General features: G+C 46.9%; 1 long non-coding RNA gene across 1 annotated transcript in view, besides 2 other annotated features; it reads left to right on the top strand.

Annotated features, from left to right (window-relative positions):
- LOC105376815 (uncharacterized) overlaps nucleotides 1–24,225 on the top strand; it is an 83,235-nt gene that overhangs the window by 9,238 nt on the left and 49,772 nt on the right. The gene's annotated exons all lie outside the window — the stretch shown is intronic.
- Nucleotides 5,807–6,378: an enhancer, noted in NCBI's record as "H3K4me1 hESC enhancer chr1:19362307-19362878 (GRCh37/hg19 assembly coordinates)". NCBI's record gives its function as "activates a minimal SCP1, AML or CMV promoter by ChIP-STARR-seq in naive H9 embryonic stem cells {active_cell/tissue: H9 hESC(naive)}" and the evidence as "EXISTENCE:reporter gene assay evidence [ECO:0000049][PMID:30033119]".
- Nucleotides 13,388–13,888: an enhancer, noted in NCBI's record as "H3K4me1 hESC enhancer chr1:19354797-19355297 (GRCh37/hg19 assembly coordinates)". NCBI's record gives its function as "activates a minimal SCP1, AML or CMV promoter by ChIP-STARR-seq in primed H9 embryonic stem cells {active_cell/tissue: H9 hESC(primed)}" and the evidence as "EXISTENCE:reporter gene assay evidence [ECO:0000049][PMID:30033119]".

The following is a 24,225-nucleotide window of genomic DNA, read 5'->3' as shown; positions in this document are numbered from 1 at the left end:
GTTTTTGTTGGGTGAACCGGGCCTCCAGAGTCCTACTCCATATCCCTCATGCTGCCTGGAGACTGCCTACGCCTTTGGCTGGTTCCTAAATCTCCTCAAGAACCAGCTGGACATGGAGGTTACATAAAGACCACCCTGAACCTGCTGGGTAGGAGGAGCTCTTAGCTCTAGTGCTGGGTGCTAGAGCCCTCTCTCACTCTACGCATCCCAGAGGAGTTGTTAAATAGGGGTGATCTCACCCTGTGGCCTCCTGAGCCCTCCCTTCTGAGTGCTCAAAGCACACTGTCACCCCATCCCTTCCCAGGAAGAAAGGGAGCCACTTCACATTAGCATCATATAGACAACAGCGTAGGGTGTTGGCTTCTGAACATTTGGCTCACATCTCTCAGTAAGAAATATACCGGCCGGGTGCAGTGGCTCACGCCTGTAATCCCAGCAATTTGGGAGGCTGAGGCGGGCGGATCACCTGAGGTCAGGAGTTTCAGACCAGCCTGGCCAACATGGCAAAACCCTGCCTCTACTAAAAATACAAAAATTAGCTGGGTGTGGTGCCGTGCACCTGTAATCCCAGCTACTCGGGAGGCTGAGGCAGGAGAATCACTTGAACCCAGGAGGTGGATGTTGCAGTGAGCCAAGATTGTGCCACTGCACTCCAGCCTGAGCAACAAGAGTGAGACTCTGTCTCAAAAAAATAAATAAATAAAATAAATATATATTCTACATTGGGACCCCGCACACCACACGCGTGCACACACACACACACACACACATGCACACACACATACAACTGAAACAAAAGTTTCGTGAAACAAGTCTTCTCTTTTATGCATTATTTTCTCCTCTCTTTCCTACCCCATTTGATTTCATTAAAAAACATTGCTCAGGGCCCCCTACATTGACTCCACATCCCGCTCATGGGTCACAACCTGCAGCTTGAAAAACGCTGGTCTTGGTGGAGAGGAACCCAGGATCAGAAGACAGATTTGTCTCTGTTTTGTTTCTGTCTGGAAAAATAGCATCATAATCTGGCTTTGCAGGGTTGCTGTGAGGGCTGGGGTCATGGAGGGAAAGCGCCTGGCACACAGTAGGTGTGCAAAAAATGGCAGCTGCTGTTACTGCCACATAGGTGACCCATCCAGGGCGTTACCTCTGGGCTAGGATTTGAGAATGCCCAGGATGGGTCTTCCCTGCCCACAGGACCTCACTGTCACCATCAGTCAGTCCTCAGGCTGAGCATTACTCTGCTCAGCTTGGTCCTTTTATATGTAAGTGCCACTTTCTGGAGGGGTGACTCAGGTCCCCAATTCTCTGGGGAAATTAAGTTTGTTAGAATCTCTCCCAGCTCAGGGCCAAGAGGGGGAAGCATGTGTCCAGAATGTGGAGGTTAGTAAGTCAACCTCCATATTAACTTCCTAACAGGGCACTTTGGGAGGCTGAGGCAGGAGGATTGTTTGAGGCCAGGAGTTCGAGACCAGCCTGAGTAACATAGTGAGACCCTGTCCCTACAAAACTATATTAAAAAAATAGCCAGGTGTAGTAGTGCATGCCTGTGCTCTCAGCTACTCAGGAGGCTGAGGTGGGAGGATCACTTGAGTCCAGAAGGTCAAGGCTGCAGTGAGCTTTGACTGCATCACCGCACTTCAGCCTAATGCAGTGCACTCTTTCTGGACATCTGGGCATGATCCCCGGATGGGATCCCCTGCCTGACCTGTGTTCCCTCTCCCCCAACCAGCCCCAACTCCCCACAAAAGTGACACCCTGGGATGTGGACCTTGCTCTGCCACACACAAACTGAGTGGTCTTGGATGGGCCCCTTATCCTCTCTGAGCCTCAGTTTCCTCATCTGCAATACTGTGATTGTATCTCCTATCTCACTGGATAGAAGTGTGTAAAGTTTCAGAGAAGCAGTTCCTGTGAAATTTCCCACACCATTGCTGGCACATAGTAGGACCCAATGCATCTCAGCTGCCCGTTCTCAACCCATCTCTCCTCTCTACACACCACTGCAAACCAGATCTTGGGCAGAGTTCTGCCTCATGTGGCAGTGAGTTCGCCATCACTTCAAGTATCCAAGAAAAGGCTAGAAAACCAACAAACAGATTCTGAGACAGCCCTGGTTTCAGGCACTGAGTAGGTGCTTTATATATACTTATTGAATGAATCAATGATTGTGATTCCTGTATTGGGTAGGAAGTCGTTCTAGAACACTGCTGAAGCTTGATTACATGCCAGAGTCACCCCGGGGGGATTTATTTACTTATTTAGAGACAGAGTCTTGCTCTGTTGCCCAGGCTGGAGTGCAGAGGTGCAATCTTGGCTCATTGCAGCCTCAACCTCCTGGGCTTGAACAATTCTCCCAACTCAGTCTCCTGAGTAGCTGGGATTACAGGCACACACCACCATGCCCAGCTAATTTTTGTATTTTTTTGTAGAGATGGGGTTTTGCCATATTGCCCAGGCTGGTCTTGAACTCCTGAACTGAAGCCTCCCGCTCTCGGCCTCCCGAAGTGTTGGGATTACAGACGTGAGCCACTGTGATCCGGGGAATTTAAAGAGTACAGATATGTAGATCCCACTCTCATGGATTCCGATCTAATTGGTCTGAAGTGCAGCCTGGTGCTTTTGAAAGCTCTCCAAGTGATCCCTGTGCAGACAAGTTTGAGAACCAGAGCACCCGGCTTCCTTCTAACTCCAAGATGATAAGATTTTGTTATAGTACGACGTGGTGACTATAGTAAACAACAATGTATCGTGTCCTTGAAAATTGCTAAGAGAGCAGATTTTAAATGTTCTCATCATATACAAAAAATAAATATGTAGGGTAATGCATATAGTAGTTAGCTAGATTTAGCCATTTCATAATATACACTTGTATCAAAACTACACCATAAATATACACAATTTTTATTTGTCAGTTAAAAAAAAGTTAAAGATCTTCTTGTATAGTCATTTACAAACTAGTATAAATTTAGGTCAAAGTTACCCTTATACACTATGTGATATATATAGTAAGGGGTTTAATAAATGGTTTAAAATTATGATCTCAGATGTCAGAGTACAGCTAGGATTTTCTTTGTAAGAGACAGAAGGGGTTCAGGTGCATCAGCTCAGCCTTAATTCTGGAGCATCCATGTAACTGGAGGAAGAGGGTTCACTAAGCATGCCCCAGATGCAGAAGCTTCTGGGACTACAGAATTAAAACAGGGGCCTCCAGTCAGACGGAGGAGGCACAGCCCTTGCCTTCAGGAGGCTCCCAGTCTAGTGACGACCATCTCTGCTTCCAAGCTCCCAACTTCATCCAAAGCTTTCCAGTTTGCAAAGTGTTTTTGCACCCGTCAGTTTTGTTCAGCGATTTGTCTAATGAGAAGGAGACATGGTCCCAGCTCTCAAGGAACCCACTTGCAAAGCCGATCTTCCCAGCCTTGGGGAGGCTTTTGCAGAATTCCTGTCCCCATTATTTCCAGGGCAGTCTGAAGAGACAATTGCTGCGTGTCCTTAGGGAGCCCTTGGTCTCATGCCTTCCAGGGTCCCCACCCTCAGTGTCTGGGCGGGGGACAGGGAGGCTGGGTGTCTGTTCCCTGGGAACCCCCCTGGGCTACTGTGGGAGTCAGCAGCTCCATGGTGCCTTTCGCAAGCCCAGCTGTAATTGTTTCTTTGGTTGTTTGTCTCCTCTAAAACAAGGACTCCTAATGGGCAGGGACTCTGTTGTACTTTTCCCTGGATCCCCAGAAGGTGTGCTGATGGACATCTAAGTAAATGAATAAATGAATAGGGATGTGGGGGGCGGGAGTTGCATGCAAACCCTCACGGAGGCAGCACTGTTTGCTCATTTGCCCTGGACAACCTCGAAGCCCTCTTGACCCCCTCCTTGGAGAGCCAGAGAGCCCCATGAGGATTGCACACACCTGTGCAGGTGTGGACTGTTGCATCAGCCTTGTAAAAATGTACCCAGAGAGCAGGTGGAGTCCTGAGACCCACGCGGCAAGGGTCACAACTCTGCCATCAGAGATGCTGTGCCCCTCTAAGATTGAATTGTGTGGGGCCCAAGAATAGGGTGGTGGGGCAGCCTCCTTCAGTGGGGGCCCCTTGCCTCTCCATTCCCCTGTACAGAAAACCATACCTAGAACGATCCAGAAGGAAAGCACCTGAATAAAACAGCCATTGTCTTGGGAAGCATGGTGGGAGGTGGTAAGTTACTACCTCCTTGTTGTTTGCAAAATTCCCAAGCATGACCTTGATAATGAAGCAAACCCCAATACTTTGATGCTCCCGTGCAAAGTCCCCCCTGGCGGTCCCCACAGGCCTCTGCCTGTGCCCTTGGTTTTGTTTGATTGCTTGAGATTCACGGGAACTAATTCAGGCACTGCCAGCAAGCTGCCCATGGCTGCCTTGTTTCCTGGTCGGACTGAGCTCTTTGAATGGAGGGCTGGAGGTAACTTGGGGAGTATCTGTTCCTTCCCCTCCTGGCATGGGGTCCATGCCAAGAATAGGCTCAAAAGAGCCACAGAGGTTACCCAATAAATGCCACTATCTGACTTTGCTTCCGAGGGAGCCACATCCATTCCAGGTTGCTGAGATCCTGGGTTGGAAGAAGCAAAAGTTACCTGCCTGCCCTCTGCCCTTGCCATTCTCTCACCAGCACCACCACCAAAATGGGTTTAAGCTTGTGTCTCCACTGGGCCCCAAGATCTTTCTCTATTTTGGCAATCCATCCATTTCTTTGTTCATCCATATACCTAACATCTGACCACGCTCACCAGACCTGCAGTGACCCCCTAGTGTAAGCACGCCATCTCTTGCCAGGCCATCCTGAGTGGTTTTTGAGTCTCCTCTCTTGCCTCCTTAGAGACTTCCCCTCCCAAAAGTGTCCAGCACATACGTCCTCCTCCTCAGCACTAGGTTCCATATAAGGCAGAGAGGCAAGTCGTTCAATCAAAGGCTCCAACAAGACGGCGGGGCTGATCATCCAGGTAAAATGTTTAACACTTTTTTTCTTTTTTTAAAGACAGGGTCTCAGTCTGTCACCCAGGCCGGAGTACAGTGATGTGATAATGGCGGCTCACTGCAGCCTCGACCTCCTAGGGTCAGGCAATCTTCCTGCCTCAGCCTCCTAAGTAGCTGGGACTATAGGTGAGCACCACCGTGACTGGCTAATATAAAATTTTTTTTTTTTTTTTTAGTAGAGACTTGAGTCTCGCTATGTTGCCCAGGCTGGTCTTAAGCTCCCAGGCTCAAGCGATCCTCCCACCTTGGCCTCCCAAAGTGCTGGGATTACAGGCTTCATGAACACATCGTAAAGGAACGGAGCAAGAGACAGGCTGGGGTGGGTGATGTTGATATCAGGACGGGCATCCCAGAGGAGGCAAGGCATGGTGGAGTCTTCAAGGGTGCCAGGAGGAGTTGGCTGGGTGAAGGGAGGGAACAGATAGGCTGGGCCAGGGGACACTGTAATTGGCTGAGAGAGGTACAGCCAACTCCACCCTACTCAGGGCAGGTGGGCTGGTTTTTTTTGTGAGTTACCATCACCACCAGGATCATCCTCTCCCTCTCCTCCCTCCATTCGGCCCCTTGCGTCCTCCCTTGGCCACTGTACTAGCTCACTGGGTGGGGGCAAGATGAGAAGAGGAGCTCTCGCTAGCCGACATGAATGAGTAAAAGGTTGCTGCACCGTGAAACTCAGCGCTAAAGTCGGATTTGGAATGATCTGTGGGCCTCAATTATCCTGGCTTTATTTTATCTCTCTCTCTCTCCCTGGCTTTGTTGTAGGGAGTTAATATGATGATACGCGATATTGCTTTTGGCAGGAGCCGGCCGCCCAGAGAATCAGGCCCTTCTTCCCCTTGCCAGCCCCTCCTCCTCCCTGCTCAGGCTCTCTCTGACCACCGGGTGAAGGGAGTGGACCCAGCTCCTGTCACCCTGGGTGTCAGGGACACAGTGCTTTGGCTCTCTCCAGAGCTGCCAACACAACTCCCGCCCAATGAGGTGACCTGCCTGCTGGGAGGGTCTGTTTGGTTTTTAAAGAATAAATAAATAGGAGCTGCTTCTTATCCCCTACAGCTAGTTCCCAGAAGGCTGAGTGTCCTGTGCAGAATCGCGAGGCTGTGATGCCGAGCGCCAGGCAGGAGTCTAGACATGCTGGCTGCTGTGACCTGAGTTAGCACAAAGTCAAGAAAAGATTGAGGGGCTTTAGGGAGGGCATGGGGTGTGTGGCCATGTCTAGGGACTCCTCCTGATTTAAGGGCCATGATGGGGACCTCCCATCCTTGAGCAGGTCTTTGGGGAACTGAGGTGGCAGGAGGCCAAGTTGGAGCCATCCCCTGGGATTCTGACCTTGCTGGGGCTGGGTCTCACCGAATTCAAAACCTAGTGCTGAGCTGCGCCCTGGCTCTGGGGAGGTATCTGGGCCCCTGACAGGGGCTTGCCAGGGAGGTCTGAAAACAGGACCAGCTACACCCTTAGTGGGGCTCTATGCAACATGAAAACGTGCATCCCTCATTCAAAAGTTAAGAAATTCAGGACAGGGAATGCAGAGCATTAAACCAAGGGTGGGTCCTTCTGAGCCCTGTGTAACTGCAGGTGTCACACATCCAGGAAGCCAGCTGGGAGTCTGCTAGGGCTGCCGTAACACAGTACCATATACTGGGTGGCTGAAATGAACAGGAAATTGTTTCACTCTTCTGGAGGCCAGAGATCTGAGACCAAGAGCAGGCTTGGCTCCTGCGGAGGGCTCAGAGGGAGGCCCCAGCACAGGCCCCTGTCCCCACTCTTTGACGTTCCCAGGGTTGTCGAAGCATAACCCCATCTTTGCCTTCATCACGTCCTCTTTGCTCTGAGCATGTCTGTCTCTGTGCCCAAGATTCCCCTTTTAAAATGACACTGGTCATACTGGATTAGGGGCCACTACCATAACCTCATTTTAACCTGGTGCCCTCTATGAAGACTGTTTCCAGATAAGCCCACATTCTGAGGTTCTGGGGTTAGAACATCAATTTTTTTTTGTTTTGGGGGGAGGGCAGGGAACACGATTCAGCCTCTAACTGTGGCCCCACTGAGCAGCCTCCTTCAGTTCAGTTCAGCTTGGTGGACATGGACAGACACTAGTTCTGTGCCCGGCTCCCTCCTGGGGCAAGTGACCCTGCCCTGCAGGAACCTCCTGTCCCCACGGAACTCCCTGGCAGGAGGCAGGGTGGACCCTCTGGACCTGATGGCTCACAGGTCTCTGCCCTGCCTCCGTGGACTGGGGGTCCCCAGTGTGACTTTGGGAGGGTACCAACCCTGGCGACCCAGGTCATAACCCAGCTGTCACCTGAGGGCTGGCAACTCTGCTCTCGACACCCTCACTTGGGTCCTGCGATGGGGCTCCGGTGGGGGCAGTCACTGCCGGGAGTGACAACTGATGGCGTCCCTTTCTCCAGGAGGATGACACCAAGGGGGCTGCATTGTGAGTCCCTTGTCTCCTGGCGCTGTCACTCACTAATGGTGTAGGCTGAGCACCCCTCTCTTCCTCGGGCCTCTGTCTCTTTGCCTGTGGCATCTTGTCCCTAGGACCCACCTCGTGGTTCTGCTGTGACCTCCGGAAGTCCCCGCAGAACCTGGAGCTCTGTGGGCTCGGGAAGAGGCAGCGCCTGGATCCAGATCCTCCTGGGAGGTGTGGAACCTCACACAGGCCCCTCCGGGGCAGACGTGTTTGGGGCATGACTGGTGGGGATAGGGACGGGAGGAGTGGGCTGGGTCCTGGGTCCTCCCCCTGGGGGACACCTGAGGCCCTTGTGTTTTGGCTCACGCCAGGGATGGTGTCATCCATTCTTTCCGAATGAGCACTAATCACCTCCGAGAAAAAGTGCCAGCTGTGGGATTTGGGCCCGTTCCCTCTGATTGCTTTTCTTTTCCTTTTTTCTCTTTATGAGTGTGATGTGCTCAGGAGGGACAGGTGAGAAGGAGGCTGTTCTCCTTTTAAGGGCAAGGCATCTCCCCTGCCCTGACTCACCCGCCTCGCTTTTTGGCCCCCAAGCACGCTCCTTGCCTGTTAAAACTGTCCCAGGTACCGCCCCTCCTAGGAGGGCGGCCCCCACCCCCCGCCCTGCATGTTTGGGAGGCTGACTTGGCGGTGAAGTCATCCTTGGCTCGGTCCTCAGACAAGCATCTTCTTGCTTGTCTTACTGGGTTCTCACTGGCACCCCGGCTCCACCCAGGCTGGCACATGGGCTGGGACCCTGCACAAGGGGTGGGTGAGCGGGGCTGGGCACCAGGCCCCTCTGGTGCTGGCTTTTATCTGGTCCCTAACTCAGCCCCTGCAGGCTGGAGCTGATGCTGGGCCAGATCCTGGTGTGGGTCCTGGGGATACGGGGATGAGGGTCTTCCCAGACCCTGATGGGCAAGGGGAAGTGTACGCGCAGAGAGTTCCAAGCCCTGGACTATTTGTGCAAAGCATGTGGTGCACTGAGGAGGGACCTGACTACCCAGGAGTCGGGGGGAGGCCTTCTGGGAAGGCGATACTTGGAAGAATCTTCAAGGATGTACTGGAAGTCACCGGGAAAGGAGAGGGGGCGGATTGATCAGAGGGAATGGCATGTGCTAAGGCTCAGAGGTACGTGTTGGGAGCAAGAGCAGGGAGAGATGAGTGAGCGGGGAGGCATGGCTGGGCAGTAGAGGGCTCTTTGCCATGCCATGTAGCTCAGACCACGACACTGGGGCCACAGAAGGATTTGGAGCCAGAGAGTGAAATGACCAGGTTCAGTTTTTAGGTCAGTGATGCTGGCGGCTGGGTGGGGAGGGTGGACGGAGGGTGGTGACAGGTGGCAGGAAGCCCAGCGGGAAGCTGTTGAAATAGTTCAGGGGAGACGGGAGAGGTTCTGGACCAGGGCAGGGCAAGGGCAGAGGGGAGGGTTCAGGACCTGGAGCTCAGGTGGTGCTGATGGAGCAGAGAAGGGAGACAGACCCGCATGTGCTTTCACTCGCAGGCTGGGCTGGAGAGCGATGCCATTGGACTCAACAGCAGCCCAGTTGATTGGGGCCTGGTGGAGAGGTCCCTGGCTGGAGAGGAGGGCAGGTGCCTTTCTCAGCTGACAGTGCTTTTATCTTGCTTCTGACCTCAGTGCCACTTCTCTGAGATGTCCCCCATCGGCCAGCTTGCCCAGCTGTCACCCCTCACATCACATGACCCAAAGTGCGTGCATGTCCATGCTCTGGGTTGTGTCTCCCAGCACCCCTCCTGGAGGATGAGGAGGGAAGCGCAATGCCCCCCATTGCACAGATGAGATGCAGCTCACAGAGGCCGGGGGACTCCCCACGCTCTCCTGCTTCTAGAGGGTGGGGGGCTCACGTGGCTTTCCCACTGCACGGCAGCATCCCCAACATGGGTGCTTTTGGTTTGCACAGGAGAATACAGGCCCTGTCGCACTGTTCGAGAGCACTAGAGTCCGAGCCGGGTGGAGGGGTCAGCTCTGGGGTTTCCCGCTTCCCACAATGTGACCTTGGGCAAATTACTTGACTGCTCTGTGCTTTAAGTTCCTCACCTGTAAGGAGGGGCTGTTCTCATTGGGCAGGGGGAGACTTAAATGAAGTTGCATTGGCCTGCACATGGCTGACACATTCCATTGTGTATTATCACTATGCACGAAGCCTCCGCCACCCTGGTGCCTTAGGATGTGTTGAAAAGACTCCCATCTCCCGTCCTCTGAGGTCTTGTCTGCCGGGGCATCCAACCCCCACCTGCAAAGTGAAGGACCCCGACTCCCAGAGTCTCTAAATTGTGGCCACACTCATGCTGGAGAAACCTCTGTGTGACTGGGTGAGTCAGTGTCACCTGGCCTGAAAGGCCCATCAAAGAGCTCCGAGGCTGGGGCCTGGCAGCTTTGTCGCCTCCACCAGGCCCCGATCAACTGGGCTCCTGTTCAGTCCAACAGCATCGCTCTCCAGCCCAGCCCGGGGGTGAAGGCTCACATGGGTCTGTGTGTCTCTTCTCTGCTCCGTCAGCGCCACCTGAGACTTCCTGCCCTTGCTGGAAAGCGGTGGGTGAAAATAAATGCATAATAAAGTCATCAGAGAGAGGCATTTCATGCTGGGTGCGGTGGCTCATGCCTGTAATCCCAGAACTTTGGGAGGCTGAGGTGGGCAGATCGCTTGAGGCCAGGAGTTCGAGACCAGCCTGGCCAACATGGTGAAACCCCATCGCTACTAAAAATACAAAAATTAGCCGGGTATGGTGGCGCACGCCTCTGGTCTCAGTTAATTGGGAGGCTGAGACATGAAAATCTCTTGAACCTGAGAGGCGGAGGTTACAGTGAGCCGAGCTCGTGCTACTGCATTCCAACCTGGGTGACAGAATGAGACTGTCTCAAAAAAAACCAAAGAGGCATTTCTGTGTGTCTGCCGTAGGAGGGCTGCTGTGTATCCAGGTCACTAAACTCCGTCATTCATTCATCGTTTTGATCTCTTTGAATAAGCTGAGCAAGGACTTAGAAGCCATAACTCTTCTACTCTCAAGATATGCCTAAGAAATGGTTAGGCTCATGCAATGCGGCTCTACCCATCCATAAGAACGATGTCCTAGGTACATATTCAGGAGTGTGGCGCTAGGTCCACATAATATTGTTGAATTTAAAGAAGACAGTTGCTAAACAGAATCTAGAGTTTGACCCTATTTCAGTAAAATATTCATCACCAAAACTCCCAGAGAGAGTCCAGAGAGAAACCCACCAACATGGTGTCAGGGGTTCTTTCTGGATGAGGGCTTTACAGGTGATCTTTGCTTTCTGATTTATACCTTTCAGGATTATCTAGAATAGGGGTTGCAAACTATGGCCCATGGGCCAAATGCAGCTGATGGTCTGTTTTCATACAGCCCATGAGCTAAGGATGGCTTTTACCTTTTGAAATGATTGTAAAAACAAACAAACAAAAACAGAAGAATTTGCTATAGCGAGCATGTGATCCACAAAACCTAAATTATTTAGGCTCTGCATAGAAAAATAATTTGCCAATCTTTGATCTAGAAAAACATTAACATTGACATGTGCTAACGCTATCATAAAAACAACAAAATGTTTCCTTTTCAGAAGGTAATACATTTAGCAAGCAGATGCATCAGAATCCTCTTTCTTTTTCTTTCTTTCTTTCTTTCTTTCTTTCTTTCTTTCTTTCTTTCTCTCTCTTTCCTTCCTTCCTTCCTCCCTCCCTCTCTTTCTCTTCTCTCTTTCTCTCTCTCTCTTTCTTTCCTTCCTTCCTTTCTTTCTTTTCTTTCTTTTTCTCTTTCTTTCTTTCTTTCTTTTTCTTTCTTTCCTTCCTTCCTTCCTTCCTTCCTTCCTTCCTTCTTTCTTTCCTTCCTTCCTTCCTTCCTTCTTTCTTTCCTTCTTGCTTTCTTTCTCTCTCTCTCTTTCCATCTCTCTTTCCCTCCCTCTCTCTCTTTCTTTCTTCTTTCTTTCCTTCCTTCTTTCTTTCCTTCTTGCTTTCTTTCTCTCTCTCTCTCCCCCTCCCCTCCCCTCCCTCCCTCCCTCCCTCCCTTCCTTCCTTCCCCCATCTCTCCCTTTTTTTTAGACAGGTCTTTTTCTGTCACTCAGGCTGGAGTGCAACGGTGCGATCTGGGCTCACTGCAACCTCTGCCTCCTGGTTCAAGTGATTCTCCCATCTCAGCCTTCCCAGTAGCTGGGATTACAGGCTCATGCCACCATGCCCAGCTAATTTTTGTATTTTTTGGTAGAGACACGGTTTCACCATGTTGGCTAGGCTGGTCTCGAACTCCTGACCTCACGTGATCCACTCTTCCCGGCCTCCCAAAGTGCTGGGATTACAGATGTGAGCCCAGAATCATTTATTTCTATTCAACAACACCCCTATGGGTTGAGCACTGTGCTAGACTCACCCCTCCTTCCCTCCTTCTCCTTTCTTTCCCACTTTCCTTCCTTCCTCTCTCCCCTGCTCCAGCCTCCCACTTTTTCTCCCTTGCTTCTTCTCTCCTCCCTCCCTCCCTCCTTCTCTCCTCCCTCCCTCTCTCCTCCCTCCCTCCCTCCTTCCCTTCTGTCTCCAGACTTTTCCCGAGCACCTTCTATGTGCCAGAGGCTTACAAACTGATGGGAGGCAAATCAGGAACAAGTCATCATCACACATCATCCTCAGGGCCACAGTGTGCCTGTTCAAGGGGGAGAGGCCACCAGGGTGGGGACACTGGCTGTGCCTGGAGTTGGCGAAGGGTGCTCCAAGGGCATAGCTCAGGATCTCCCACAGTCACCTGGGAGCCAGGACAGGCCCTCAGAAAGGCGATTCGAAACATCAGGCCCCTGAGCCTGGCCCCCAGCAAAGAGTGCTTGGAGTCCTCCAGACCTGAGTGACCAGGGGGGTACTTTGTGACCACATAGGGGCTTGTTTGAGGACTTTCAGAGTTGAACATCCACAAACAGGAGCAGAATGTTGGGCTAGTAGAGGACCAGCAGGATCCAAGGCCAATCCCAGGGGGTGGGTATCCCCGAGGGGTCCCAGTAGCAATGACAGACACACAGGCAGCCTCACACGGCCGCCAGGCAGGATGGAGCAAGGCAGGCGGCAGGCGGCAGGCGGCAGGTGGCTGGCGGCAGGGTGCTGTTGCAATCGTGCCCTGCTCCTGCCCAGCCTGCTTCCTGCAGCCATGCCTGAGGCCAGCACCTCCCTCCTGTCAACTGGACTGGTTCCTTCTGTCAAACCAGTAGAAGGAATTGGGAAACGACAGTGGGGCAGGGGTGGGAAGCTGGGGGACACCCCTTCCGTCTTCTTAATCACTGCATCTAACTTTCAGTACATCTTTCGAGCCTTACTCATGCATGAGATTACCATGACGTTCCTAGCACCCAGGACACCTGAGGCACACAGCCAAGCAGGCAGGGAGGCACTGACCTCAGGATGCCCGCCTGCTGCCCCATCTCCGGGGTGCCGGGTTTTGGGGAATGAACCAGATGAGGAGGCTAGTCGCAGCGGTGCCCTCACTGGCCCAGGATTTCCAAGCGGGGGCTTTGGTGAAACAAACTGTGGTTGGAATCCCAGATCTGCCTCTGTGTGACCTCGGACAAGTTACTTCACCTCTCTGGGCCTCAGTTTCCTTATCTTCAAATGGGGATAATGTCCCCATGTAGACACAAAGACTGAATGCATACATAATGCCCATAAGCACTCAGCAGGCTTGCAATAGATGTTCGTTCCCTCCTTTCTAGGCGCATAAGGAAACTATGTGAAGCCAAATTCTGCCCGCCAGGAGTTGCCAATGTTGCTGGGACAAAGCTACGCCCTTGAGACAATTAGATGCACTCACAGAGCTGAATAACCACCCCAAGACTTTGCCCTGCCCTTGGACACAGATGTTTACCTCCCAGACTTCTGTGGCTCCCTGAGGTCTCTGCTAATGATGCCCTGGTCACACAGGGTCTCTGGACAGTTCAACACACCGGGCACCATGGCAGGGCCTTTGTGCAGGGGCTTTTGTTTTCTTCTATGAAGACAGCACCGGGTGGGCACAGGTCCCTCTATGCACCTGGAACACTGTCCTTGCCACCTAGTCCTGCCCCCAACCCCACTGAGACCAAACTCGCATCCGGGAGGGTGGTCCCCACAGTTGCCCTCAGAGTTTAGAATACAGATGCCCAACCCAGTTTTTGCAACACCCCAGCAAGACTCTATTCCAAGAGGTATCAGGAAACTCTCTAGGCAAGATTGAATTGGGTTCACTTTAATTAAAAAAGAAATCACAGTCACCTGGCACTCTAGTGGGTGGGAAGAGGAGGGAGGGAATGGCAGGAAGTGAAGCTAATAGCTTCAAGTCTCCACCGTCTGGGCTCCCAGGAGGCTCCACCCTCTGGCACTTCGTTTCCTGGGAAGCCTCCCCTCTCCCAGAAGGGGTTGATGGCCCCCTCCTCAGTGTGCCCACAGAGCTGGGAGCCCTTGTGGAGCCTGTCACAGTGCTCTGCAATGACTGGGTCACATGCCTCTCTGCCCTGTTGGGCGGGGCTCCGTCTCCATGGAAGCCCATCTTCTCCGCCAATCTCGGCCAGAAGGTTGGTGGTTTGTAGCACACAGATGTCAAACCAGCCGTGAATATAGGTCAGAGTATCCATCCTTGTTCTCACAGTCCTTCCTCCGCAGCAACTTCCTTGTCCCCCATTTTTTTTTCCTGCTTTACTGGGTAGAGTCAGGTGTTTTGTTTTGTTTATCTCAGCCATTCAAATGGCACAGTGTGGAGTAGCCATGGTGAGAGCAGACATCCTTATCTTGTTTCCGATTTTAGGTAGGAAGCATTTAGTCTTTCACCATTAAATATGATGTTAGCTGTAGGTTTTTAATAGGTGTTTTTTGTTGTTGTTGTTTTGTTTGTTTTTTTTTTTTTTGAGATAGTCTCGCTCTGTCACCCAGGCTGCAGTGCAATGGCATGATCTCAGCTCACTGCAACCTCGTCTCCCGGGTTCATACAATTCTCCTGCCTCAGCCTCCTGAGTAGCTGGGATTACAGGTGCCTGCCATCATGGCCAGCTAATTTTTTTTTTTTTTTGTATTTAATAGATACAGGGTTTCACCATGTTGGCGAGGCTGGTCTCGAACTCCTAACCTCTAGTGATCCACCCACCTTGGCCTCCCAAAGTGTTGGGATTACAGGCATGAGCCACTGCACCCAGTCCATAGATGTTCTTTATCAGGTTAAGGAAGTTCCCTTCTATTCCTAGTTTACTGAGAGTTTTTGTTATGAATGGTTGTTGAATTTTGTTGAATGCTTTTCCTGCATCTATTGAGATGGCTTTATAATTTTTTTTCCTTTATCTGATCATATGGTGTAGAACAGGAATTGATTTCTGGATGTTACACCAACCTTGCATTACTGGGATAAATCTTACTTGGCCATGATGTATTATCTTCTGTAAATATTGCTGGGCTTGATTTGCTCTTTGTTAAAGATTTTTGTATCTGTGCTCATGAGGAATATTGAGGTATAGTTTTCTTTCTTGTGATTTCTTTGTCTGGCTTTGGTATCAGGGTAATACTAGCTTCAGAAAATGAATTTGGAATTGCTTCTTCCCCCTGTATTTTCTGAGTTTCCATAGAACTGGTAGCATTTCTTCCTTAAATATTTGATAGGATTCACCAGTGAAACCATCTGGGCCTGGACTTTTCTTTGTGGAAAAGTTTTTAATTGCCAATTCAATTTGTTTACTTGATACAGGTATATTTAGATCTTCTATGTCTTCTTGAGTCAGTTTTGGTAATTTTTATTTTTCTGTATGTTTGCCCATTTTATGTTTTCAAATTTGTTGGTATAAAATTTTTTACAATATTCTCTTGTCCTTTTTTAAATTTATATTATTTTATAATAGCTTTATAGAGGCACAATTAGCAGACAATAAACTACACATATTCAAAGGGCACAATTTTATATATTTTGACATACAAACATGTGAAGCTATCACCACATCATAATAACAAATTCACCACCCCAAAAGTTTTCTATCCCATTGTATATTCCGTTATAGTTTTCATCTCTTAAAATTCCCCACTTAGGCCAGGCATGGTGGCTCATGTCTGTAATCCCAACATTTTGGGAGGCCGAGGCGGGTGGATCACTGAGGTCGGGAGTTTGAGATCAGCCTGACCAACGTGGAGAAACCCCGTCTGTATTAAAAATACAAAAATTAGCCGGGCGTGGTGGCGCATACCTGTAATCCCAGCTACTCAGGAGGCTGAGGCGGGAGAATCGCTTCAACCTGGGAGGCAGAGGTCGCAGTGAGCCAAGATTGCGTCATTGCACTCCAGCCTGGGCAATAAGAGTGAAACTCCTTCAAAAAAAAAAAAAAAAGAAAAAAGAAAAAATCCCCACTTAACATGTTCAATCTTTCCTCTAGTTTTTAAACATATGGAATACAGCTATATGTTTTCAGGTCATTATCTGCAATTCTAACATCTATGTCAATTCTGGGTCCATTTCAATGGAATGATTTTTCTGTCCATCATGAGTGGTATTTTCTTTCCTTATGCATGCCTAGTAATTTTTAAAATTTATTTTTGGGCCTGTAATCCCAGCACTTTGGGAGGCTGAGGGGCAGATGACCTGAGGTCATGAGTTCGAGACCAGTCTGGGCAACATGGTGAAACCCCATGTCTACTAAAAATACAAAAAATTAGCCGGTCGTGGTAGCGGGCACCTGCAATCCCAGCTACTCAAGAGAATGAGACAGGAGAATTGCTTGAACCCAGGAGGTGGAGGTTGCAGTAAGCCGAGATTGCACCACTACACTTCAGCCTGGGCAAGAGTGAGACTCTGTCTCAAAATATATATATGTATATTTGATTTTTTTTTCTGTGACACAGCCTCAGGAGGTCCTGACAACATGTGCCCCATCCCTAATAATTTTTGACTGGAAAATTTTACCTCGTTGGATGCTAAATACTTTGTATTCCTGTAAGTATTCTTGAGTTTGTTCATTTTTTCTGGGACACAGTTAAGCTACTTGGAAGCAGCTTCATCCTTTTGGGTCTTGCCCTTAAGGTTTGTAAAATGAGACCAGAGCAGCATTACTACCAAGTCGAGACCCTTCTGAATACTTTACACAATGTCCAATGAATTCTGAGGCTTTTCAGTCTGGCCAATGGAAACAGGCACTATTCCCAGCCTGTGTGATCTCAAGTTACTATTTCCTCTAGTCCATTGTGATGGTTCTTTCCATGGTCTTAGGTAGTTTTCCAGCACTCATATACCAATCGATTCTCAAATGCATATTTGATGGGGACCCTCTGCAGAACGCTGAGATTCCTTCTCTGGGCAGCTCTCTTCAGTACTCTGTCCTGCAACTCTGGCCAACTTAGTCTTCCCGGACTTTCAGCTCTATATTCTCAACTCAGGGAGTCTGCTGAGCTCCACTTGGGTCTCCCTTCCCTGTGCTGCAGCCGGGAAACTCATTCAAGGCAATGAGCTGCAGTAATTGCAGGGCTCATGTCATTTGTTCCCTATCTTTTTTTTTTTTTTTTTTTTTTTGAGATAGAGTCTCATTCTGTTGCCCAGGCTGGAGTGCAATGGTGTAATTTCAGCTCACTGCAACCTCTGCCCCCCGGATTGAAGCAATTCTCCCATCTCAGCCTCCCAAGTGGCTGGGATTATAGGCACCCACCATCATGCCTGGCTAATTTTTGTATTTTTGAAGAGATGGGGTTTCACCATTTTGGCCAAGCTGGTCTTGAACTACTGACCTCAGGTGATCTGCCCCCTTTGGCCTCCCAAAGTGCTGGGATTACAGGTGTGAGCCACTGTGCCCAGCCTGTTCTCTATCTTTCAGGGATCAGGGATCTTTGTTGCCTACTATCCAATGTCTTGAGAACTTTTATTTCATACATTTTGTCTGCAACTTCAGTTGTTTTCAGTAGGAGAGTAAATCGGGCTCCTGTGATTTCATTTTGGTTGTAAGTGGAAGTCATTCTTTTAATGTCTGTAGGATTCGTAGTGATGTCACCATTTTATTCCTGATATTGGTAATTTATGACGTCTTCCCCCACTTGTTTTTTTGGATCAGTTTAACTAAAGGTTTATCAATTTTATTAATCTTTACAAAAAATGAGCTTTTAGTTTCATTATGTTTTTAAAAATTATTTGTTTTCTACCTTATTAATTTCTGCGCTTCTCTTTATTCCTTTCTTTCACTTATTTCAGATTTAATTTGCTTTCCTTTTTCTAGCTTCCTAACTTGAAAGCTTAGATACTTATTTTTATGCTTTCTTCTTTTCTAGTATAAGCATTTAAAGGTATAAATTTCCCTGCATAGTCTGCTTTAACTAAATCCTGCAAAATTTGATATGTTGTGTTTTTAGGGCAACATATTTTTCTAATTTCCCTTGTGATATCTTGTTTTGACCATGAGTTATTTAAAAGTATATTGTTTAATTTTCATGTTTGGGGGATTTCCCATATTCCTTTTTGTGATATACACTTTAGAATAACTATATTCTGCTTTTGTTAGGTGGAGTTTTATGAATGCCAATTAGGTCAAGTTTCTTGATAGTGTTATTTTATATCCTTTCTGATTTTCTGACTACTTTTTCTATTAATTACTAAGAAAGGAATATCAAAATCGTCGTGTATTTGGGGGCATTGTTATCATAAGTATATAGATTTATAATTGCTATATCTTGATGCCATATTGACCCTTTCATTATTATGAACTGTTCTTCTTTTGTCTATAGTAATACTGCTTGTCTCTAAGTCTATTTTGTTTGTTGTTAATATGGCCAGCCCAGCTCTCTTGCACCTATTTGCATGGTATATCCTTTTCCATCCTTTTACTTTCTTGTAGACAGAATATAGTTGGGTCTTGCTTTCTAATTCAATCTGAAATATCTCTGCCTTTTGGTGGGAGGTTTAGTTCATATTCACATTTATTGTAATTATTGACATGGTTAGAATTGGTCCACAATTTTGCTATTTGTTTTCTACTTGTCTTATCTCCTTGTTGTTCCTCTGTTCCTTCTAAACTACTTTCTTTTGTGTTAAACAAATATTTTAAGTACATCATTTAAATTCTCTTCTTTGATATTTTTGTGGATTTTTAGTGATCATTCTAGGCATTGTAATATGCATCTTTATCTTATCAAAATCTACTTTATATTAATAATGACTAACTCCCACCAACTTTGTGTCAGCATATTCCCTCACCCTCCTTTATGCTATTGTTGTCATACATATGACATCCATTTACGCTATAAACCCAATGGTATGCTGTTGTAATTTTTGCTTTAAATAGTCATATATCTTTTAAGGAAATTAAGAAAACAAAAGAAAAAAACAGATCACATATTTACCACTTTCATTCCTACCTGTGGAGCTGGATGACCCTCAGATATGATTTTTCTTTAGTTTATAGTTTTTATTCAATTTTCTTTTAGTCTTTAACCTTTTGAGTTTTACTGCAATGAAATGTGTCACCAACATACTTTTTTTAGATGTATATTTTACCTTGCTCTGTCACCCAGGCCAAAGTGCAGTGGTGTGGTCTCGACTCATTGCAACCTCCACCTCCCAGGTTCAAATGATTCTCCTGCCTCAGCCTCACAAGTAGCTGGGATTATAGGCACACGCCACCATGCCCAGCTACTTTTTTTTGTGTGTGTTTTTAGTAGAGATGGGGTTTCACCATGTTGGCCAGGCTGGTCTCAAACTCCTGACCTCAAGTGATCCACTCGCCTCAGCCTCCCAAAGTGCTGGGATGACAGGCGTGAGCCACCACACCTGGTCCCACCAACACATTGTAATTTTTCTGTAAATGTCTTTATTTTACCCTTATTTTGAATGATAGTTTTACTATATAGAGAATTTTTTTGTTGACAAGATTTTTTTTCTTCCAGTACTGTGAATACTTCATCCCATGTCATCCCAATGTCTTCTGGCCTGTATTGTCTCTGGTGAGAACTCAGCTGCTTATCTTTTTTTTTTCTTTTTTTTTTTTTTGAGATGGAGTTTTGCTCTGTCGCCCAGGCTGGAGTGCAGTGGCACAATCTCGGCTCACTGCAACCTCCGCCTCCCGGGTTCAAGCGATTCTCTTGCCTCGGCTTCCCAGTAGCTGGGGTTACAGGTGTGTGCCATCATGCCTGGCTAATTTTTGTATCTTTAGTAGAGATGGGGTTTCACTGTGTTGGCCAGGCTGGTCTCAGCAGCTCATCATATCATTACCTTCTGTATGTGATGTGTGGCTGTTCTGTTGCTGCTGTCAGGACTATGTCTTTCAGCAGTTTGACCATGATGTATCTATGTGTGATTCTCGTTGTGTTTCACCTTCTTGTTTAGCTTGTTTAGCTTCCTGGATCTGTTCCTGGATCTCACCAAATTTGGAAAGAAACTGGCCATTGTGCTTCCAATCCTTTTCCACCCACTTCTCTCTTTTCTCTCCTTTTGGGACTCAACTCTCTGCCACCTGAACTCTGCAGGGGTTGAGGAGTTCATGCAAAGATTCTAGTTTCAGGCATGCTGAGGAGAGGGAGGAAGTTTCCAAGTGTCCCAGGCTTTTCATTTTCCCTGGGCCTTCCCACATTTATGCTTAATTTAGCAGTCACCTGAAGATGTGTGAAGAGTTTATTGTCTCAGCCCTACTATGGCTCTATCACCTTCAACATCTCCCTGTGAAATATGCCACCTTTGAACCATGTTCACCGGTGCCCAGTAAAGCTGTAGGTTTTTATTACCCTTACTGGAAGAATAGGAACACCCCCAGGTGTGAAGGTCAAAAATTCGGTTCCTATTCTTAGCAGCCATTTTTCCTGAGAGTGAAGACTTGTTAAGTTGGTATCTGCCTTTGGTCATTTTCCAGTGCCTTGAAATAGTTATTTTCAAAATAATTTTTTCCAGTTTATACTTGTTTTATGTGGAAGAGAATTGTTTAATGCTGACATTACTGGAAATCTTGCTGTCTGTATTTTTTCAGGATTGTATTTTATTATATAATTAAATTCACTGTAAACTTTTAGAAAATAAGGTAACTTCCTCAAATCACTCATAATCGATTGCCTAGAGGTAATTACTATTGGCATTATAAATATATCCTTTCATATATTTTTAAACATAGGCATTTATAAAAAACAAAAATGAGACCATTTGATACACACTTAAAAAAAAATTGAGGTGGCCAGGCGCGGTGGCTCACGCCTGTAATCCCAGTACTTTGGGAGGCTGAGGTGGGTGGATCACGAGGTCAGGAGCTCGAGACCAGCCTGGGTAACACAGTGAGACCTCATCACTACAAAAATAAAGATAAACTAATAAACGGCCCTCCCCACCAAACACAAAGCACTAAGTCCACATTCTCCCTCACCCCAGCTCCTGGCAACCACCATTCTATTTTCTGACTCTATGAATGTGGCTACTCTGGACATTTCGTATAAGTGGAATCATGCAGTATTTGTCTTTTTATTTTATTTTTGTTTTGTTTTGAGACAGGATCTCTGTCACCCAGGCTGGAGTACAGTGGCACGATCTTGGCTCGCTGCAGCCTCAACCTCTCGGGCTCAAGTGATCCTCCCACCTCAGCCTTCTAAGGAGCTGGGACTACAGGTGTGTGCCACCACACCCAGGTAATTTTTTGTAGAGAAGGGGTTTTGCCTTGTTGCCCTGGCTGGTCTCGAACTCCTGACCTCAAGTGATCTGCCTGCCTCGTCCTCCCAAAGTGTTAGGATTTCAGGCATGAGCCACTGCACTCAGCCCTTTTGCCCATTTATTTTTATTTTTATTTTACTTTAAGTTCTGGGACACATGCAGAATGTGCAGGTTTGCCCCTTTCTTTTCTTTTCTTTTCTTTTCTTTTCTTTTCTTTTCTTTCTTTCTCTCTCTCTCTCTTTCTTTCTTTCTTTCTTTCTTTCCTTCTTTCTTTCTCTTCCTTCCTTCCTTCCTTCTTTCTTTTTTATTTTATTTTATTTTTTTTTCTGACAGAGTCTCGCCCTGTCCCCCAGGCTGCAGTGCAGTGGCGCCATCTTGGCTCACTGCAACCTCCGCCTCCTGGGTTCCAGCGATTCTCCTGCCTCAGCCTCCTGAGTAGCTGGGATTACAGGCACCTGCCACCAGGCCCAGCTAATTTTTGTATTTTTAGTAGAGATGGGGTTTCACTGTGTTGGTAAGGCTGGTCTCGAACTCCTGACCTCCTGATGTGCCTGCCTTGGCCTTCCAAAGTGCTGGGATTACAAGTGTGAGCCACCGCACCCGGCCAGTTTTGCCCATTTCTTAATCAGATCATTTGAATTTTTGTTGTTGAGGTGTGGGAGTTATTTATATTCTAGATATTAATCCCTTATCACATGGATGATTTACAAATATCTTCCTTCTCCCATTCCATGTATTGTCTTTTCAGTCTGTACACAGTGCCCTTTGATGCACAAGAGTTTTTTATTTTACTGAAATCCAACTTATCTGTTTTTTCTTTTGTGCTTTTTGTGTCAAATCCAAGAAACCACTGCCAAATCCAGTGTCACGAAGCTTTCCCCCCATGTTTTCTTCTAAGAATCTTAAAGTTCTAGCTCTCACGTTTAGGTCTTTGATTTATTTTTAGTTAATTTTTTGTATATAAGGTAAGGTAAGGGTCCAACTTCATTTTTTTTTTTTTTGCGTGTAGGTATCCAGTTTTACCAACATCATTTATTGAAAAGTCTCCTTTCCCTATTGAATGGTCTTGGTACCCTTGCTGAAAACCAATCCGGCACCTATAAGGAACTTAAACAAATTTACAAGAAAAAGCCACACAATCCCCTTAAAAAAGTGGGCAAAGGACATGAATAGACACTTCTCAAAAGAAGACATACATGTGGCCAACAATCATATGAAAAAAAGCTCAACATCACTGATTATTACAGAAATGTAAATCAAAACCACAATGAGATACCATCTCACACCAGTCAGAATAGCTATTATTAAAAAGTCAAAAAAAATAGCAGATGCTGGCAAGTTTGTGGAGAAAAAGGAACTCTTATACACTGTTGGTGGGAGTATAAATTAGTTCAACTAATTGGAAGACAGTGTGGCGATTCTTCAAAGACCAAAATACCATTCGACTCAGCACTCTCATTACTGGGTATATACGCAAAGGAATATAAATTGTTCTATTATAAAGACACATGCACGCATATGTTCACTGCAGCACTATTCACAATAGCAAAGACATGGAATCAACCTCAATGCCCATCAGTGATAGACTGGCAGTACATATACACTGTGGAATACTATGCAGCCATAAAAAAGAACGAGCTCATGTCCTTTGCAGGGACATGGATGGAGCTGGAGGCCATATCCTCAGCAAACTAATGCAGGAACAGAAAACCAAACACCCCATGTTCTTACTTATAAGTGGGAGCCAAATGATGAGAACACATGGACACATAGAGGGGAACAACACATGCTGGGGCTTATCAGAGGGTGGAGGATGGGAAGAAGGAGAGGATCTGGAAAAATAACTAATGGGTACTAGGCTTGATACCTGGGTGATGAAATAATCTGCACAACTAACCCCCATGACACATGTTTATCTGTGAAGCAAAGCTGCACATGTACCCCTGACCTTAAAAATTTTTTTTTTTTAAAAAAGAAAATCATTTGACTATTTTTGCAGGGGTTTATTTCTGGACTCTCTATTCTATTTCATTGGTCTAGATGTCTATCTTTATGCCAGTACCACACTGTTTTGATTACTGTATCTTTGTAGTGTTTTGAAATCAAGAAATGTATTATCTCCAACTTTGTGCCTGTTCAAGATTGTTTTGGTTATTCAGAGTCCCTTAAGATTCAATATGACTTCTAGGATGGATTTTTCTATTTCCGTAAAAAATGTCATTGGGATTTTGATCGGGGTTGGATTGAACCTGTAGATGATATACATTATTTTAAACTATGTTTTCTGCAAAATATTAGGAATATATGAACAACATGTCATACATATATTTATGTTCATAATATACTTTAACAACATCATTTGTAATGGCTGAATAGTCTTCAATTGTATGGGTATATTCTAATTTATTTAATCAGACCTTATTTTTTGGCATTTACGTTAGTTCCCACTTTTTTTTTTTTTTTTTTTTTGAGGTGGAGTCTTGCTCTGTTGCTCAGGCTAGAGTGCAGTGGCACAATCTTGGCTCACTGCAACCTCTGCCTCCCAGGTTCAAGAGATTCTCCTGCCACAGCTTCCCAAGTAGCTGGGACTACAGGCACACGCCACCATACCTGGCTAATTTTTTTTGTTGTTGTTTTCGTTTTTGGTAGAGACAAGTTTTCACCATGTTGCCCAGGCTGGTCTCGAACTCCTGACCTCAGGTGATCCACCTGCCTCCGGCTCCCAAAGCTCTGGGATTACAGGCATGAGCCACCACACCTGGCTCCACTTTTGATATTATAAAGAATGTATAATGACTATCCTTGTCCCATTATCTTTTCATATATTGTCTTTGGTGGGGAGGAAATTCATCACTGAGCTTTAATTATGAGAGAAAACTGGCATAAGAAAGAACTTTAAAACTATTAAGTTGGTGCAAAAATTTGCCATTTTTTTTAAAATGGCAAAAACTACGATTACTTTTGTGCCAACCTAATATTTTGTTGTATTTCCTCTATTTTACAAGTAAAAGACAAAAGCTCCTAAAGGGTGGGTGTTTTACAGATGGCCACGCACCTAGCTGTGGCTGGGTTTGAATCCTGGCTCTGCTCCTAATCAGCGAGATGAGCTTAGGCAACCACCTTAAACCTCTCTTCATGAGTAACGGTAA

Source organism: Homo sapiens, chromosome 1, assembly GCF_000001405.40.
Source record: "Homo sapiens chromosome 1, GRCh38.p14 Primary Assembly".
Classification (NCBI taxonomy): Eukaryota; Metazoa; Chordata; class Mammalia; order Primates; family Hominidae; genus Homo; species Homo sapiens.
This window is presented reverse-complemented; position numbering and strand designations above follow the sequence as displayed.